The sequence below is a fragment of the Homo sapiens genome, chromosome 9 (genome assembly GCF_000001405.40).
Source record: "Homo sapiens chromosome 9, GRCh38.p14 Primary Assembly".
Taxonomy (NCBI): Eukaryota; Metazoa; Chordata; class Mammalia; order Primates; family Hominidae; genus Homo; species Homo sapiens.
The window spans coordinates 115173550-115191568 of record NC_000009.12 but is presented as its reverse complement, the minus strand read 5'-3'; the positions used below and the strand labels follow the sequence as shown (position 1 = coordinate 115191568).

At 37.9% G+C, this 18019-nt stretch overlaps 1 long non-coding RNA gene across 1 annotated transcript in view, besides 1 other annotated feature; it reads right to left on the bottom strand.

The window, feature by feature from the left end:
• DELEC1 (deleted in esophageal cancer 1) overlaps positions 1–18019 on the bottom strand; it is a 260827-nt gene that overhangs the window by 211076 nt on the left and 31732 nt on the right. The window lies entirely within an intron of this gene.
• Positions 8805–9350: an enhancer, noted in NCBI's record as "OCT4-NANOG hESC enhancer chr9:117944498-117945043 (GRCh37/hg19 assembly coordinates)". NCBI's record gives its function as "activates a minimal SCP1, AML or CMV promoter by ChIP-STARR-seq in primed H9 embryonic stem cells {active_cell/tissue: H9 hESC(primed)}" and the evidence as "EXISTENCE:reporter gene assay evidence [ECO:0000049][PMID:30033119]".

Here is an 18019-nt window from a genome sequence, read left to right as displayed (position 1 = left end):
GTGATAGAGCTATCCTGAAAATGAAAGCCCAACATCCAAACAGCAAAACCAAAACCCAATAAACATAAAAAATAGATCACAATCATAAAAATCAAGATAAAAACAATAATCAACTATAATCAACTAATAATCAACAATAAATCAACTACAAACAAAAACAAATTTCTAATCTAATAAAAGATTTTTAGTAGGTAGGGCTGCAATTTTCAGAGATCATAAAAAACAGGAAATTGTGAACCAAAATGAGTAAAATAATTGCCTGTGCTTTTGAGGTCTTACTCAAAAAATTCTATGCCCAGACAAATGTCCCGAGTATTTCTCCAGTGTTTTCTTCTAGTCATTTTATAGTTTCAGGTCTTACATTTAAGTCTTTCATTCTTTTTGAGTTGATTTTTATATGGTGAGAGAGTTTCAATAATTCTAGTTTCATTCGTCTGCATATGGATATTCAGTTTTCCTATCACCCTTTATTGAAGAGGTTGTCCTTTCCCCCAGTGTATGTTTGTGGCTCCTTTGTCAAAAATGAATTGCCTGTAAATGCATGGGTTTATTCCAGGGATCTCTATATTTTGTTCCATTGGTATCTGTTTTTATGCCAGTACCATGCTGTTTTGATTACTATAGTTTTGCAGTATATTTTGAAGTCAGGTACAGTGATGCCTCCAGCTTTGTTCTTGTCATTCAGGATTGTATTGACTATCCAGGGTCTTCTGGCTCCAAATGAGATTTAAGATTGTTTTTTCTATTTCTGTCATTGATATTTTGATAGAGGCTGCATTGAATCTGTTTATCATTTAAAAGTGTGAACATTTTAACAATATTAATTCTTCTTATTCATAAACATGAAATACTTTTCCATTTTCTTTGTGTCCTCTTCAATTTATTTTGTAAATGTTTTATAGTTTTCATTGTAGAAATCTTCACTTCTTTAGCTATATTTTTTCCTACGTATTTTATTTTTATACTTAGGTATAAAATTGCTTCCTTGATTTTTTTTTTTTTTTTCAGATTGTTTGCTGTTGGTATATAGAAATGCTACTGCTACTGATTTTTGTATGTTGATTTTCTATCCTGCAACTTTACTAAATTTGCTTTTGAGTTACAACAGTTCTTTGGTGGAGTCTTAAGTTTTTCTGAATATTAGATAATGTCATCTGCAAACAAGGGCAATTTGCCTTTTTTCCTTTTCAAATTGGATAGCTTTTATTTATTTCTCTTATCTAATTGCTCCAGATGGGACTTCTAGTACTATGTTGCATAAAAGTGATAAAAATAATCATCCTTTTCTTGTTCTAGATCTTATGAGAAAAGCCTTCAATTTTTCTTTTTAATTTAGTATTGTATTAGCTGTGGGTTTGAAAAGAAAAAATTAACAAATGCGATTGTAGCAAGTGAAAGCTTCTGCACAGCAAAGAAAACAATCAACAAAGTAAAGAGACAACCTATGGAATGGGAGAAAATATTTGCAAACTATCTCTCTGATGGATTAATAGCCAGAATATAGAAACTCAAATAATTGAATAGCAAAAACAAACCCTTTATAATCCAATTATAAATAAGCAAAAGATCTGTAGTTATTTCTCAAAAGAAAACATACAAATGGCCAACCTCTATATGAAAAAATGCTCAACATCACTAATCATCAGGGAAATGCAAATCAAAACCACAATGAGATCATCTTACCTCAGTTAAAATGGCTACTATCAAAAAGACAGAAAATAACAGATGCTGGCAAGGATGTAGAGAAATAGGAATGCTCAAACGCCGATGGTGGAAATGTAAATTAGGGTAAAAAAAAACAGTTTAGAGGTTCCTCAAAAACTTAAAAATAGAACTACCACATAATCCAACAATTCCACTGCTGGGTATATATGAAAAGAAAGAAAATCAGTATATCAAAGAGACATCTGTACTCCCATGTTCATTGAAGCACTATCCATAATAGCCAAGAAATGAAAATAACCTAAGTGTCCATCAGTGGATGAATGGATAAAGAAAATGTGGTATATATGCACAATGGAATATTATTTAGCCATAAAAAGAATAAAATCCTGCCATTTGCAGCAACATGGATGGAACTGGAGGACTTTATGTTAAGTGAAATAAGTAATCCAGGCACAGAAAGACAAATATCACATGTTCTCACTCACATGTGAGAGCTAAAAAAAATGATCTCATTAAAGTAGTGAGTAGAATGGCGGTCACCTGATTGAAAATGAACATTGGGCTGGGTACAGTGGCTCACACCTGTAATCCTAGTATTTTGGGAGGCCGAGGCAGGTGGAGCACCTGAGCTCAGGAGTTCAAGACCAGCCTGAGCAACATGGCAAAACTCTGTCTCTACTAAAAATAGGGAAAATTAGCTGGGTGTGGTGGCACACACCTGTAATCCCAGATACTTGGGAGTCTGAGATACAAGAATCGCTTGAATCCAGGAGGCGCAGGTTGCAGTGAACTGAGATAGCTTTCCACTGCACTCTAGCCTGGGCAACAGAGCAAGACTCTGAATGAACAAAACAAAAAAAAAAGAAAAAGAAAATGAACATTAATTAGTGATCAGAAAAAAGAAAACTAAACCCACACTTAGACATTGTCTTTGTCCATTTTGTGCTGCTATAACAGAACACCCACAGCCTGAGTAATTTATAACGAATATAAACTTATTGGCCCATGGTTCTGGAAGTTTGGAAGTCCAAGATTGAAAAGTCAGCACCTAGCAAGAGCCTTCTTGCTGTATTATTCCACGATAAAGGTGGAAGGGCAAGACAGAACAAGAGATCGAACTTGTAGCCTCAAGCTCTTTAGCAATCAGCATTAATCCATTCATGAGAGTGGTGCCTTCACGACCTAAACACCTGCCATCAGCCCCACCTCCCAGTATGATTGCATTGGGGATTAAGTTTCCAACACATGCACTTTGAAGGACACAAAACATAAAACATATTTTAGACACATAGCAGAGTTCAGAAATTCTGAAGAATAAAAAAGTAGTGACTGAGATGTAGAATACAATAATGAGCACATAAAATGATAAAAATTGGTAGATAAATCACTCAACCGAAAAGACAAAAAGACTACTTTTCTAAAATTCTAACCAGCAGAAACATGATTATGGAGATAAGGAGCACTCAAGGCCAGGTGCAGTGGCTCACGCCTGTAATCCCAGCACTTTGGGAGGTTGAGGCTGGCAGATCACAAGGTCAAGTGTTCGATACCAGCCTGGCCAACATGGTGAAACCCCCGTCTCCACTAAAAATACAAAAAAAAAAAAAAATTAGCCAGTCGTGGTGGCAGGTGCCTGAAGTCCCAGCTACTTGGGAAGCTGAGGCAAAAGAACGGCTTGAACCCGGGAGGCAGAGGTTGCAGTGAGCCGAGATCATGCCACTGCACTCCAGCCTGGGCAACAGAACAAGACTTCATCTCAAAAAAAAAAAAAAAAAAAAAAAGAAGCACTCAAAAACTGGGCATTATTTGAGATATGACTGCTGTATCACAACTGACACCTGGCCTAGACTATCTTAAAAGTCCAACTGGTTGTAAGATGCATGTCATTTTCAGAAAGAGTATAGAAATATCCACTAACCTAAGACTTTATTAACAAATATAATAGATAAGTATGTATGTTAAAATCTAAGACTGTGTCCTAAAACAAATGAAACTACAATTGAGGTCTTTTAAATCATTTTAGGGAACAATGGGATATGAAAAAATTTGACAATCTCTCTAAAATCTGTAAGATGGAGAACACACACACAGCCCCCAAAGTAGAATTTCCAAATACATCAATAAAACACAATAAGTGTAATGAATCAAACATAGTTATTGAAAGTTATCGATGAGGCTGAGTTTTTAAAAATTCAGTAAAAAAAATTCCATAAGCAAAGATAAAATATTTAAAACGTCAACTGAGTATTATCTTATATTGATGATCGAATAGTCAGTCACACGTTTGATTTTCAAAATGGGCACTTCTAACACGTTAGTGCATGTGCATGTTTTTCACTGACTTTTGACTTCTTAGTCACTGACAATTTGATTACTTTAAACTAGTTTCTTGTTCCCAGGTTATAACACTGCCTAAGCATTCCAATAATTCTCTCACTTGCATAAAGAAAATGTGATTCAAATGTAATGCTTCCGCTTATTCTGAAATACATACGGATACTTTCTGTTTGAAAAAGAGCATTTACATAATCTATTCTAAAGCCATAGTAATTAAGATAATTTTAAAAATGAAACATTGGCCAGGCGCAGTGGCTCACACCTATAATCCCAGCAGTGTGGGAGGCCAAGGAGGTGGATTGCCCGAGGTCTGGAGTTCAAGACCAGCCTGGCCAACATGGCAAAACCCCATCTTTACTTAAAAAAAAAAATTAGCCGGGCGTGGTGGTATGCACTTGTAATCCCAGCCACTCAGGAGGTGGAGGCAGGGGAATCACTTGAACCCAGGAAGCAGAAGCTGCAGTGAGCTGAGATCGCACCATTGCACTCCAGCCTGAGTGACAAGAGGGAAACTCTGTCTCAAAATTTAAAAAAAAAATAAAAAGAAGCATTAAGAAGTACAGTGGGGGAGGTGGGGATGGTTAATGTGTGCAAAAATAAAATAGAAGAATGTATAAGACATTTTTTAATAACACAATAGGATAACTATAGTCAATAATAACTTAACCATATATTTTTAAATAACTTAAAGAGTATAATTGGTTTGTTTGTAATTCAAAGGATAAATCCTTGAGGAGACAGATACCTCATTCTCCATGCTGTGCTTATTTCACATTTCATGCCTATATCAAAATGTTTCAAGCACCCCATAAATATATATACCTACTATTTACCCACAAAAATTAAAAAATAAAAAATACATACAGAAACAGAATGAAGGGATAAAGAAAATGTGATATATATATATATATATATATATATATATATGCGCAATGGAATATTATTCAGCCATAAAAAGAATAAAATCCTGCCATTTGCAGCAACATGGATGGAACTGGAGGATATTATGTTAAGTAAAATAAGTAAGCCAGGCACAGAAAGACAAATATGGCATGTTCTCACTCACATATGGAAGCTAAAAAAAATTGATCTCATGGAGGTATTAGGTTGGTGCAAATGTAATTGCAGTTTTTGTCATTACTTTTAATGTTATAATTGTTGTAGTTGTTACTTTTAATGTTATCTTTAAGATATTTTTGCCTACTGTATGTTTTTGCCATTAGAAGTAATTACACTTGCACCAACCTAATAGTAAGTAGAATAGTGGTTACCAGATTGGTGGTAAAATTAGGTGAGATGATAGTGCAGAAAAAGAAAGAATGCCTTATTAATAAATGGTGCTGTGACAACTAAATATCCACATGGCAAAAGTAAAATAAAATACAGAGAAAAAAAATAGATCTTGACCCCATAAGACACCATACACAAGTATCAATTCCAGTTAGATTAAGATAAACATATTTTGTACCTGCAAAATGATAAAATTTGTAGGACAAAAGACAACATATTCAGTAACCTGCAGTAGGCAAAAACATCTTAAAGATGACATTAAAAATAACAGCTATAAAATAATAATAATATGATAAATTAGACTATATTATGTTTAAGAGCATCTGTTTACTAAAAAAATTAAAAACTGAAAACGAGATTTAGGATGAAAAATTTACAATACTTGTATCTGACAGAAGATATGTATCAAAAAAATATGTAAAAGATTTATACACATCAAGAAGAAATGATAAACCCATAGAAAATATGGAGTCCTGGTAAGTCAGCAACAATGAAAAAGGGCTCCCAGGGTGGGGGAGAATCATTTTTCTGAGAGATGGCTAATCACAGACAACTCCTTGGCACAACATCCTCTTCCCAATTATCTCGTTCCACACATAGCCCCTTCCACTATGGCCCTATAAAACTTCCCCGCAGTGCCTACATCTTTGCAGACAGCCCCTTCTCTGCTGTGCTGCCCATTGCACCTTGCAATATATCTTTGTATTTTCTTTAATAAATCTGCCTTTCTTTCCCCACAAGTGTCTTGGTACATTCTTTTACCATCCAACACACTGGCCTGAGTCAGTGACACCCACAATAGAAAAATGAAGAAAAGACTAAAAATTTCTTCAAAACACTGAGTCACAAATGATCAATAGCACAGGAAAGAATGCTCAACCTCATCAGTCATTAGGTAACTTCCAATATCAAATACCAATGCAATATCACTGCATACCTACTGAAGTACAGAATAAAACTGAAGACAGAAAATACAAAGTGTTGACAAAGACACAGAACAACCAGAACTTTCAATAAATTGTATCAATTTAACCACTTTGGAATACTTTTTGCACATATCTACTAAAATTAAACATACATATGCATATCCCATGACCCAGCAATTCCACTTATAGATGTATACAACCCCCCAAAAACGCATACACATATTCATCCAAAAATATAACAACAATATTTGTAGTAGCATTATCCATAATAACCCAAAACTGGAAACCTGGTCCACTGTCCACCAAAGGGAGAATGGATAAATTGTGGTATATTCTTACAAGGCAATACTACATAACAATGCAATAATATTGGTGAATTCCATAAACATAATGATGAGCCAAAGAAGACAGACACAAAAGAGCATCTAGTTCAATAACAGGAAGAGTGCATATGTGTTGCTATAACTCAAGGTAGAGGTTACCCCAGGTGATGGTGGAGTTATCACTGGAAGAAGCATGAGAGGGCTGTTTATATTCTGTTTCTTCATTTGTAAGCAGGCCACATAGTGTGCTTACTTCCAGAAAATTCTTTGAGCTATAGACATATCTGTGCACTTTTTTGCATGTGTGTTATTCTTCAAAGTTATTCTTTAAAAGTGCCACTGGTTCACACACTGTGCACTGAGGTTCAAATGACTGATGTTGTGGAGCGGATAAATCATCTCTCACTCAGAAAATGAAGTGCTTGGATGTTTAGCAAAATAAGAGTCTTCACTGGATAGGCTTTTGTTTGGGGGCTCTGCTGTTTAAGAACACCAAAGGGCAAGCAAATGCTAATACTTTAAGATTTTGCCTTTGTAAACGTGACTAATGTGACATGAGAAGACCAGAGAAATTGGATTTAATTATGGGTTTTTAATATACTATTTATTATACATCACATGATATATTTAGAGAACATAATTCCTTTATGTTGCTTTTATTGCCACTCGTTACAATAGGAAATTATGCCAACGTCCTTCTGAACTACAAACAGTTAAATGCAAAATCAACAATAAAAGATATAGATTTTAAAATATATATTTGGAAAAGTAAAAGTAAACTCCTAAATATCAAAAGTTCTGAGTTGCCAAAAAAACTTCTAAAGTTTATTAGAAGTGTAAACTAAAAATAAAATTCTGTAGACCCAGTGTAAACCAAAAATAAAAATCTCTAGACCCAGAACATGTAAGACAGGTCCCAGTTTATTTAGAAAGTTTATTTTGCCAAGGTTAAGGATGCAATGCACACCTGTGACACAGCCTCAGGAAGTCCTGACAACATGTGCCCAAGGTGGTTGGGGTGCAGCTTGGTTTTATACATTTTAGGGAGTCATGAGACATCAATCAAGCACATTTAAGAAATATTTGGTTTGGTTAACTCAAAGCAGGGGGCTGTTGGGGAGGGGGGTAGGTTCCAAGCTATAGGTAAATTTAAACATTTTCTGGCTGACAGTTGACAATTGGTTGAGTTTGTCTTAAGACCTGGGATTAATAGAAAGAAATGTTTGGGTTGCAATAAGAGGTTGTGGAGACCAAAATTTTATCATGCAGATGAAGCTTTTAGCTAGCAGGCTTCAGAGAGAACAGGCTGTAAAATGTTTCTTATCAGACTTGAAGTCTGTGTTGTTGTTAATGCCAGAGAGGTATTAATGAGGCATGTCTGACCCCCACTTCCTTTCATGGCCTAAACCAGTCTTTCAGGTTAAATTTTAAGAACCCTGACTAAAAAGGAAGTCCATTTAGTTGGTTGGGAGGGGCCTTAGAATTTTATTTTTGGTTTACAATTCTAAGGCCCACCCCACCTCCCCAACCATCTAAATGGACCCTTCTGGGCCAAGGACATTCTAAAGTTAGCCTGAAAAACTAGTTTCAATTCATAATGGGAAAGGGGAGCCAGACACGCCTCATTATACCCTCCTCCCTTTTGGAATTACTGATAGAGCAGACTCTTTAAGTCTGACAAGCAACATTTACAATCTATTCTCTCTGAAGGCTGCTACCTGGAGGCTTCATCTGTCTGATAAAACCTTGGTCTCCACAACCCCTTATTACCACAACACAGACTTTCCTTCCTATTGATAATAACCCTTTCAGTCAATTGCCAATCAGAATATCTTTGAATCTGCCTAGGACTTGGAAGCCTCCACTTCCGGTTGTCTGGACCTTTCTGGACCAAACCAGCGTACACCTCACATGTATTAATTGATGTCTCCTGTCACCCTAAAATGTATAAAACCAAGCTGTAGCCCATCATTTTGGGCACATGTTCTCAGGATCTCCTGAGGGCTATATCACTGGCCATTGGTCACACATATTTGGTTCAGAATAAATCTCTTCAAATATTTTACGGAGTTTGATGCTTTTTGTCAACAGGAGAAAATGTATTCCTTAAAAAACATTTATTAGTTTTTTTTTTAAAAAAAAGCAAGATTGAAAATAAGTTCAGCATTCAACTCAAGAAAGTAAAGGTAATAAAACAATAAAAATTAAAAGAATGGGAAATGTTACTGGAAAGGGATCCCGATCCAGACCCCGAAAGAGGGTTCCTGGATCTTGCTCAAGAAAGAATTCAAGGTAAGTCCATAAAGTGAAAGCAAATGTATTGAGAAAGTAAAGAAATAAAAGAATGGTTACTCCACAGGCAGAGCAGTGGCATCAGCCACTGGTTGCCCATTTTTATGGTTATTTCTTGATTATATGCTTAACAAGGGTTATTATTCATGAGTTTTCCTGGAAAGAGCTGGGGAATTCTAGGAGCTGAGGGCTCCTTCCCTTTTCAGACCTTATAGGGTAGCTTCCTGACATTGCCATGGCATTTGAAAACTGTCATGCTGCTCCTGAGAGTGCCTTCTACCATGCTAGTGCATTACAATTAGCTTACAATGAGCCATAACAACAACCAGAGGTCACTCTCACCATCTTGGTTTTGGTAATTTTGGCCGGCTTCTTTACTGCAAACTGTTTTACCAGCAAAGTCTTTATGACCAGTATCTTGTGCAGACTTCCTAACACATCCTGTGACTTTGAATGCCTAATTTACTGGGAATGCAGCTCAGCAGATCTCAGCCTTATTTTACCAGCCCCTACTCAAGATGGAGTCGTTCTGGTTCAAATGCCTCTGACAGAAACAGGTAAACAACTGATATTAATGTACAAGAAAACAAAGAAGCAAAAGAGATTATTAAACAAAAACAAAAAAAAAAAGAGATCACAAATTAAACTATAGTAACAAAGTGGGACCACAATTAGGGCTATAGTAGAGAATTTTTTAAATCATTATAAATTAAACCAACTTTCATGCTATTTTTTGTAGATTTTTCAATTTGTAGATTTCATAGCTTTTCCAAATATGCAAACTTGAAAATGTAGCATAAATAAAATACTTTATGGAAACCATAGAAACAATCAATATTGACATCAATACAAACAAAAATCCTACACAAAATTAGATATCAGATAATTTTAATTGATAAGCAGTTTTCATACCAAAAAGAAACAATACCCAGATAAATTCATACAGTCACATTTTACTAATCACCAAAGAACAAACAATCCTTTTCTTGTTCAAAATGTAAAAAGGCAGTACAAAAATAAAAAAAAGCCCAATCTCACTTATAAATGGAAAGCAAAATAATAATTTCAAATATATAGTGTACCAATAACATCAACAGTAACAATGAATGATAGCCCAAGAATGCAAATATAGTTCAGTGGCAGAAAATCTGTTAAAATTAACCACCATTTTAGAACACTAACAAAAAAGCATATCATTTATCTTATTAGGTGAAGAAGAAGCATTTGATACAATTTAACTCTCAACTATAAAGACAACTTTAGGAAAAGTAGGAATATGAAGAAATTTCCTCAAACATATAAGGAATCTTTATAAAAAGTATTCAGTAAATATCACTTTTTATCATTATTAAATACTTATTGAGCATTAAATTTGTACTAGGCACTGTTCTAAGTACACAAATATATATGCATACATACATACATATATTAATATATGTATGTGTATATATACACACATATATGTTTAATCCTCACAACATTCTTCTGATATAAATATTATTGTTGTTGTTGCTTTTGTTTATTTTCATTTCACTAATGGAAAAACACGAACACAGAGGGGTTAAGTTATCTGGCCCAAATCACACAACTTTTAACTGACAGAGCCTAAATTCAAACCTCCTTGATCTTGCATTTTTAACCAGTGTGCTATGTGGCCTCTATAATGATGGAACATTAGAAACATTCCCTTGAAAATCTGGAAAAAGCCAAAAATGCCCGCTATCACTCCTACCATTCAAAATTGTACATAAGCCCTGGCCAATGCAATAAGAAAAATAAACACAATATTTTTTAAATAGATAAAAAGAGATACAATGACATTCACTTGCAAACAATATGATTAGAAACTCTTAAAAAAATACGGATAAAATATTACAAAAGATAACAGAATTCAGCAAGTTATTAGATCAACGCAAATTTATTTTCATTCTAGAATTCAGCCATACCAATTATAAAGTGTAATGGAAATTGAAGATACTTTTACAATAGCAAGAAAAACTTCAGGCTCCTATGAATAATTCTAGCAAAAAAATAAATAAACTTTTAGAAGAAAATTTTAAGAATCTCTTTAAAGACATAGAAGAAAGCCTGAATAAACATTTATGGAACAGAAGACTTATTATTAAAGAGGTTCCTGTTCTGCCACCAAAATAATCTACATATTTGTTGCAATTTTAGTTAATTATAATAAGGTTTTCATTAAAATGGACCAGCCAGTATTTATACTCTTCATAAGAAAGAATAAAGAAATAAAGCTTTGAAGGAAGGGAATAAAGCATACAAGACCACATACAAGCGTTATTCTAACACTGTATGTAACACAATGTTATTTATATAAAGAAGAGACAAACAGATCAATACAATACAGTCAAGCACCTTGAAACAAATCCATGGAAAATTTGTCAGGCCTCTGAGCCCAAGCTAAGCCATCATATCCACTGTGACTTTCATGTACACATCCAGATGGTTGGTTCCTGCCTTAAATGATGACATTCCACCACAAAAGAAGTGAAAATGGCCTGTTCCTGCCTTAACTGATGACATTGTCTTGTGAAATTCCTTCTCCTGGCTCATCCTGGCTGGAAAGCTCCCCTACTGAGTATCTTGTGACCCCCACTCTGGCCACCAGAGAACAACCCCGCTTTGACTGTAATTTTCCTTTATTTACCCAAATCCTATAAAACGTCCCCACCCTTATCTCCCTTGGCTGACCCTCTTTTCGGACTCAGCCCAGCTGCACCCAGGTGAAATAAACAGCTTTATTGCTCACACAAAGCCTGTTTGGTGGTCTCTTCCATGGATGCAAGTGAAATTTGGTGCCATGACTCGGATCAGGGTACCTCCCTTGGGAGATCAATCCCCTGTCCTCCTGCTCTTTGCTCCATGAGAAAGGTCCACCTATGACCTCAGGTCCTCAGACCGACCAGCCCAAGAAACATCTCACCAATTTCAAATCCAGTAAGCAGCCTATTTTTACTCTCTTCTTCAACCTCCCTCACTATCCCTCAACCTCGTTCTCCTTTCAATCTTGGCGCCACACTTCAACCTCTCCCTTCTCTTAATTTCAATTCCTTTCATTTTCTGGTAGAGACAAAGGAGACATTTTATCCGTGGACCCAAAACTCCAGCGCCTGTCACAGACTGGGAAGGCAGCCTTCCCTTGGTGTTTAATCATTGCAGGGACACCTCTGATTATTCACTCATGTTTCAGAGGTGTCATACCATGCAAGGATGCCTGCCTTGGTCCTTCACCCTTAGCAGCAAGTCCTGCTTTTCTTGGGGAGGGGCAAGTACCCCAACCCCTTCTCTCCGTGTCTCTACCCCTTCTCTGCTTTTCTGAAGGAGAGGCAAGAACCCCTCAACCCCTTCTCTTTCACCCTTAGCGGCAAGTCCCGCTTTTCTAAAGGAGGGGCAAGTACCCCGACCTCTTATCTCTGTGCCCCCATCCCTTATTTCCACACCCCGACCTCTTATCTCCGTGCCCCAACCCCTTATTTCTGTGCCTTGACCCCTTTTCTGCTTTTCTGGAAGGTAAGAACTCCCAAACCCCTTCCCTCTGTGTCTCTACTCTCTCTTTTTTCTAGGCTTGCCTCCTTCACTATAGGCAAACTTCCACCCTCCATTCCTCCTCCTTCTCCCTTAGCCTGTGTTCTTAAGAACTTAAAACCTATTCAGCTCTCACCTGACCTAAAATCTAAGCGTCTTATTTTCTTCTGCAATGCTGCTTGACCCCAATACAAACTCACAGTAGTTCCAAATAGCCAGAAAACGGCACTTTCAATTTTTCCATCCTGCAAGATCTAAAGAATTCTTGTGGTAAAATAGGCAAACGGTCTGAGGTGCCTGACGTCCAGGCATTCTTTTACACATCAGTCCCTTCCTAGTCTCTGTGCCCAGTGCAACTCATCCCAAATCTTCCTTCTTTCCCTCCCGCCTGTCCCCTCTGTCCCAACCCCAAGCGTCGCTGAGTCTTTCTAATCTTCCTTTTCTACAGACCCATCTGACCTCTCCCCTCCTCCCCAGGCTGCTCCTCGCCAGGCCAAGCTAGGTCCCAATTCTTCCCCAGCCTCCAGTCCTCCACCCTGTAATCTTTTTATCACCTCCTCTCCTCACACCCGGTCCAGTTTACAGTTTAATTCCGTGAGTAGCCCTCCCCTACCTGCCCAGCAATTTCCTCTTAAAAAGGTGGCTAAAGCTAAAGGCATAGTCAAAGTTAATGCTCCTTTTTCTTTATCAGACCTCTCCCAAATCAGTGAGCATTTAGGCTGTTTCATCAAATATGAAAAACCCAGCCCAGTTCATGGCTTATTCGGCAGCAACCCTGAGACGCTTTACAGCCCTAGACCCTAAAAGGTCAAAAGGCCGTCTTATTCTCAATATACATTTTATTACCCAATCTGCTCCCGACATTAAATAAAACTCCAAAAATTAAATTCTGGCCCTCAAACCCCACAACAGGACTTAATTAACCTCACCTTCAAGGTGTACAATAATAGAGTAGAGGCAGCCAAGTAGCAACGTATTTCTAAGTTGCAATTATTTGCCTCCACGGTGAGACAAACCCCAGCCACATCTCCAGCACAACAAGAACTCCAAATACCTGAACCACAGCTGCCAGGGGTTCCTCCAGAACCTCCTCCCCCAGGAGCTTGCTACAAGTGCCGGAAATCTAGCCACTAGGCCAAGGAAGGCCCACAGCCCAAGATTCCTCCTAAGCCATGTCCCATCTGTGCAGGACCCCACTGAAAATTAGACTGTTCAACTCACCTGGCAGCCACTTCCAGAGCCCCTGGAACTGTGGCCCAAGGCTCTCTGACTGACTCCTTCCCAGATCTTCTCAGCTTAGCAGCTGAAGACTGACACTGCCTGATCGCCTCAGAAGCCTACAGGACCATCACAGATGCTCTAAGTAACTCTCACAGTAGAAGGTAAGTCCGTCCCCTTCTTAATCAATACGGAAGCTACTCACTCCACATTACCTTATTTTCAAAGGCCTGTTTCCCTTGCTTCCATAACTGTTGTGCGTATTGACAGCCAGGCTTCTAAACCTCTTAAAACTCCCCAAATCTAGTGCCAACTTAGACAATACTCTTTTAAGCACTCCTTTTTAGTTATCCCCACCTGCCCAGTTCCCTTATTAGGCCGAGACACTTTAACTAAATTATCTGCTTCCCTGACTATTCCTAGGCTACAGCCACACCTCATTGCTGCCTTTTCTCCCAGTTCAAAGCCTCCTTCACATCCTCCCCTTATATCTCCCCACCTTAACCCACAAGTATAAGACACCTCTACTCCCTCCTTAGTGACCGATCATGCACCCCTTACCATCCCATTAAAACCTAATCACTCTTACCCCGCTCAATCCCAATATCCCATCCCACAGCATGCTTTGAAAAGATTAAAGCCTGTTATCACTTACCTGTTACAGCATGGCCTTTTAAAGCCTATAAACTCTTCTTGCCATTCCCCCATTTTACCTGTCCTAAAACCAGACAAGGCTTACAGGTTAGTTCAGAATCTGTGCCTTATCAACCAAATTGTTTTGCCTATCCACCCCATGGTGCCAAACCCATATACTCTCTTATCCTCAATACCTCCCTCTACAACCCATTATTCTGTTCTAGATCTCAAACATGCTTTCTTTACTATTCCTTTGCACCCTTCATCCCAGCCTCTCTTTGCTTTCACTTAGGCTGACCCTGACACCCATTAGGCTCAGCAAATTACCTGGGCTGTACTGCCACAAGGCTTCACAGACAGCCCCCATTACTTCAGTCAAGCCCAAATTTCATCCTCATCTGTTACCTATCTCGGCATAATTCTCATAAAAACACACGTGCTCTCCCTGCTGATTGTGCCAATTAATCTCCCAAACCTCAATCCCTTATAAAACAACAACTCCTTTCCTTCCTAGGCATGGTTAGTGCGGTCAGAATTCTTACACAAGAGCCAGGACCGCACCCTGTAGCCTTTCTGTCCAAACAACTTGACCTTACTGTTTTAGCCTAGCCATCATGTCTCCGTGCAGCGGCTGCTGCTGCCCTAATACTTTTAGAGGCCCTCAAAATCACAAACTATGCTCAACTCACTCTCTACATTTCTCATAACTTCCAAAATCTATTTTCTTCCTCATAGCTGATGCATATACTTTCTGCTCCCCGGATCCTTCAGCTGTACTCACTCTTTGTTAAGTCCCACAATTATCATTGTTCCTGGCCCGGACTTCAATCTGGCCTCCCACATTATACCTGATACCACACCTGACCCCCATGACTGTATCCCTCTGATCCACCTGACATTCACCCCATTTCCCCATATTTCCTTCTTTCCTGTGCCTCACCCTGATCACACTTAGTTTATTGATGGCAGTTCCACCAGGCCTAATCACCACACACCAGCAAAGGCAGGCTATGCTATAGTACAAGCCACTAGCCCGCCTCTTAGAACCTCTGATTTCCTTTCCATCGTGGAAATCTATCCTCAAAGAAATAACTTCTCAGTGCTCCATCTGCTATTCTACTACTTCTCAAGGATTATTCAGGCCCCCTCCCTTCCCTACACATCAAACTCAAGGGTTTGCCCCTGCCCAGGACTAGCAAATTGACTTTACTCAACATGCCCTGAGTCAGGAAACTAAAATACCTCTTGGTCTAGGTACACACTTTCACTAGATAGGTAGAGGCCTTTCCCACAAGGTGTAAGAAGGCCACCACGGTCATTTCTTCCCTGCTGTCAGACATAATTCCTCAGTTTGGCCTTCCCACTTCTACACAGTCCGATAGAAGACTGGCCTTTGTTAGTCAAATCAGCCAAGCATTTTTTCAGGCTCTTAATATCCAGTGAAACCTTTATATCCCTTACAGTCCTCAGTCTTCAGGAAAAGTAGAACGGACTAATAGTCTTTTAAAACACACCTCACCAAGCTCAGCCACCAACTTAAAAAGGACTAGATAATACTTTTACCACTTTCCCTTCTCAGAATTCAGGCCTGTCCTCAGAATGCTACAAGGTACATCCCATTTAAGCTCCTGTATAGACGCTCATTTTTATTAGGCCCCAGTCTCATTCCAGACACCAGACCAACTTGGACTGTGCCCCAAAAAACTTGTCATCCCTACTATCTTCTGTCTAGTCATTCCTATTCACTGTTCTCAACTACTCATACATGCCCTGCTCTTGTTTACACTGCCAGTTTACACTGTTTCTCCAAGCCATCACAGCTGATATCTCCTAGTGCTATCCCCAAACTGCCACTCTAAACTCTTGAAGTAAATAAATAATCTTTGCTGGCAGGACTATGCTGAATCTCCTTAAGCACTCTCTAATCAGATGTCCTAGGTCCTCCCAATTCTTAGACCTTTTATACCTGTTTTTCTCCTTCTCTTATTCCATTTAGTTTTTCAATTCATACAAAACCATATCCAGGCCATCACCAATAATTCTACAGGACAAATGTTTCTTCTAACAACCCCACAATATCACCCCTTACCACAAAATCTTCCTTCAGCTGAATCTCTCCCACTCTAGGTTCCCGCGCCGCCCCTAATCCCGCTCGAAGCAGCCCTGAGAAACATCGCCCATTATCTCTCCATACCACCCCCAAAAATTTTCACCATCTCAACACTTTACCACTATTTCATTTTATTTGTCTTATTAATATAAGAAGACAGGAATGTCAGGCCTCTGAGCCCAAGCTAAGCCATCATATCCCCTGTGACCTTCATGTACACATCCAGATGGCTGGTTCCTGCCTTAACTGATGACATTCTACCACAAAAGAAGTGAAAATGGCCTGTTCCTGCCTTAACTGATGACATTGTCTTGTGAAATTCCTTCTCCTGGCTCATCCTGGCTCAAAAGCTCCCCTACTGAGCACCTTGTGACCCCCACTCTGCCCACCAGAGAACAACCCCCCTTTGACTGTAATTTTCCTTTATCTACCCAAATCCTATAAAACGGCCCCACCCTTATTTCCCTTCACTGACTCTCTTTTCAGACTCAGGCCACCTGCACCCAGGTGAAATAAACAGCTTTATTGCTCACACAAAGCCTGTTTGGTGGTCTCTTCACAGGGACATGAATGAAAAAATTGGCATTATCAGAGATGCTGCTATAAAAAAATAGAGAAATGTTAGACTATTCAATAATTGGTACAAAGGCAATTGGGTTTCCATATGGAAACAAAACAAAATTAGAAGACTGCCTTAGATCAAAATAAATTCCAGATACACTGAGGATCACAATACAAAAAGTAAAACTTTAAAACTTATAAAATGATAAATAGATGAAATAAATGATAAATAAATGAAAAATAACTTCTTGACTGTCAGAAGCAAGGATTTATTGAGTCAGACATCAAAGCTCAAACCATAAAAACATTCAAAATTTTATAAATTTGACTATGGTAAAGCTAAAAATCTTGTAAATGATAAATATATCTCCAAAAAGATGTAAACAATAAACCACAGACTTGAAGAAGTTATTTGCAAGTTTTGTGTCAAAATTAGTACACATACCATGCAGGGATAAAAATTTCTACAAATCAACAGATTAAATATTAAAAATTCAAGACAAAAAAAATCACAATGACACAAACAGGCAAATCACGAGAGAGAAAATCCCAGTAGCCAATATGCATACAAAAGATAATTATTCTCACTAATAAATTTGAATTAAAATCTAATAAATAAATGTGAATTAATTTTCCTCACTAACAAACACAAAGTTAGGAAACGAAACCCTTTGTCAAACCCATAAGATTGTCAAATATCTGACAATACCAATTATTGGTAAGAATGTAGGGCAATGGAAACTCATTCAACGCTGTTGAGAAAGTAAATTTGATATTCTTTAGTAAATATAAATATGACAATATTATGTGTCTGGAAATTCTATATCTAGGTATGTACTCCACAGTTACTTGTGCAAATATGCACAAAGAAATGTGTACAAGGATGCTTATTGCAGTGTTGTTTATAACAACAAATAATGCATACCAGTAAGAGAGTGGATTAATTCAATTGTGGAATATTCACACAAAGGTACTCCATAGAGCAGTTAAAAATGAATAAACTATCTACATATATTAACAGAGCTAATTCTTAAAACATGATGTTGAGTTTTTAAAAAGAAACTCACTTAATGGTTTGTGTAATGTGATAAAATTTAAACCAGGTTTAAATGTGT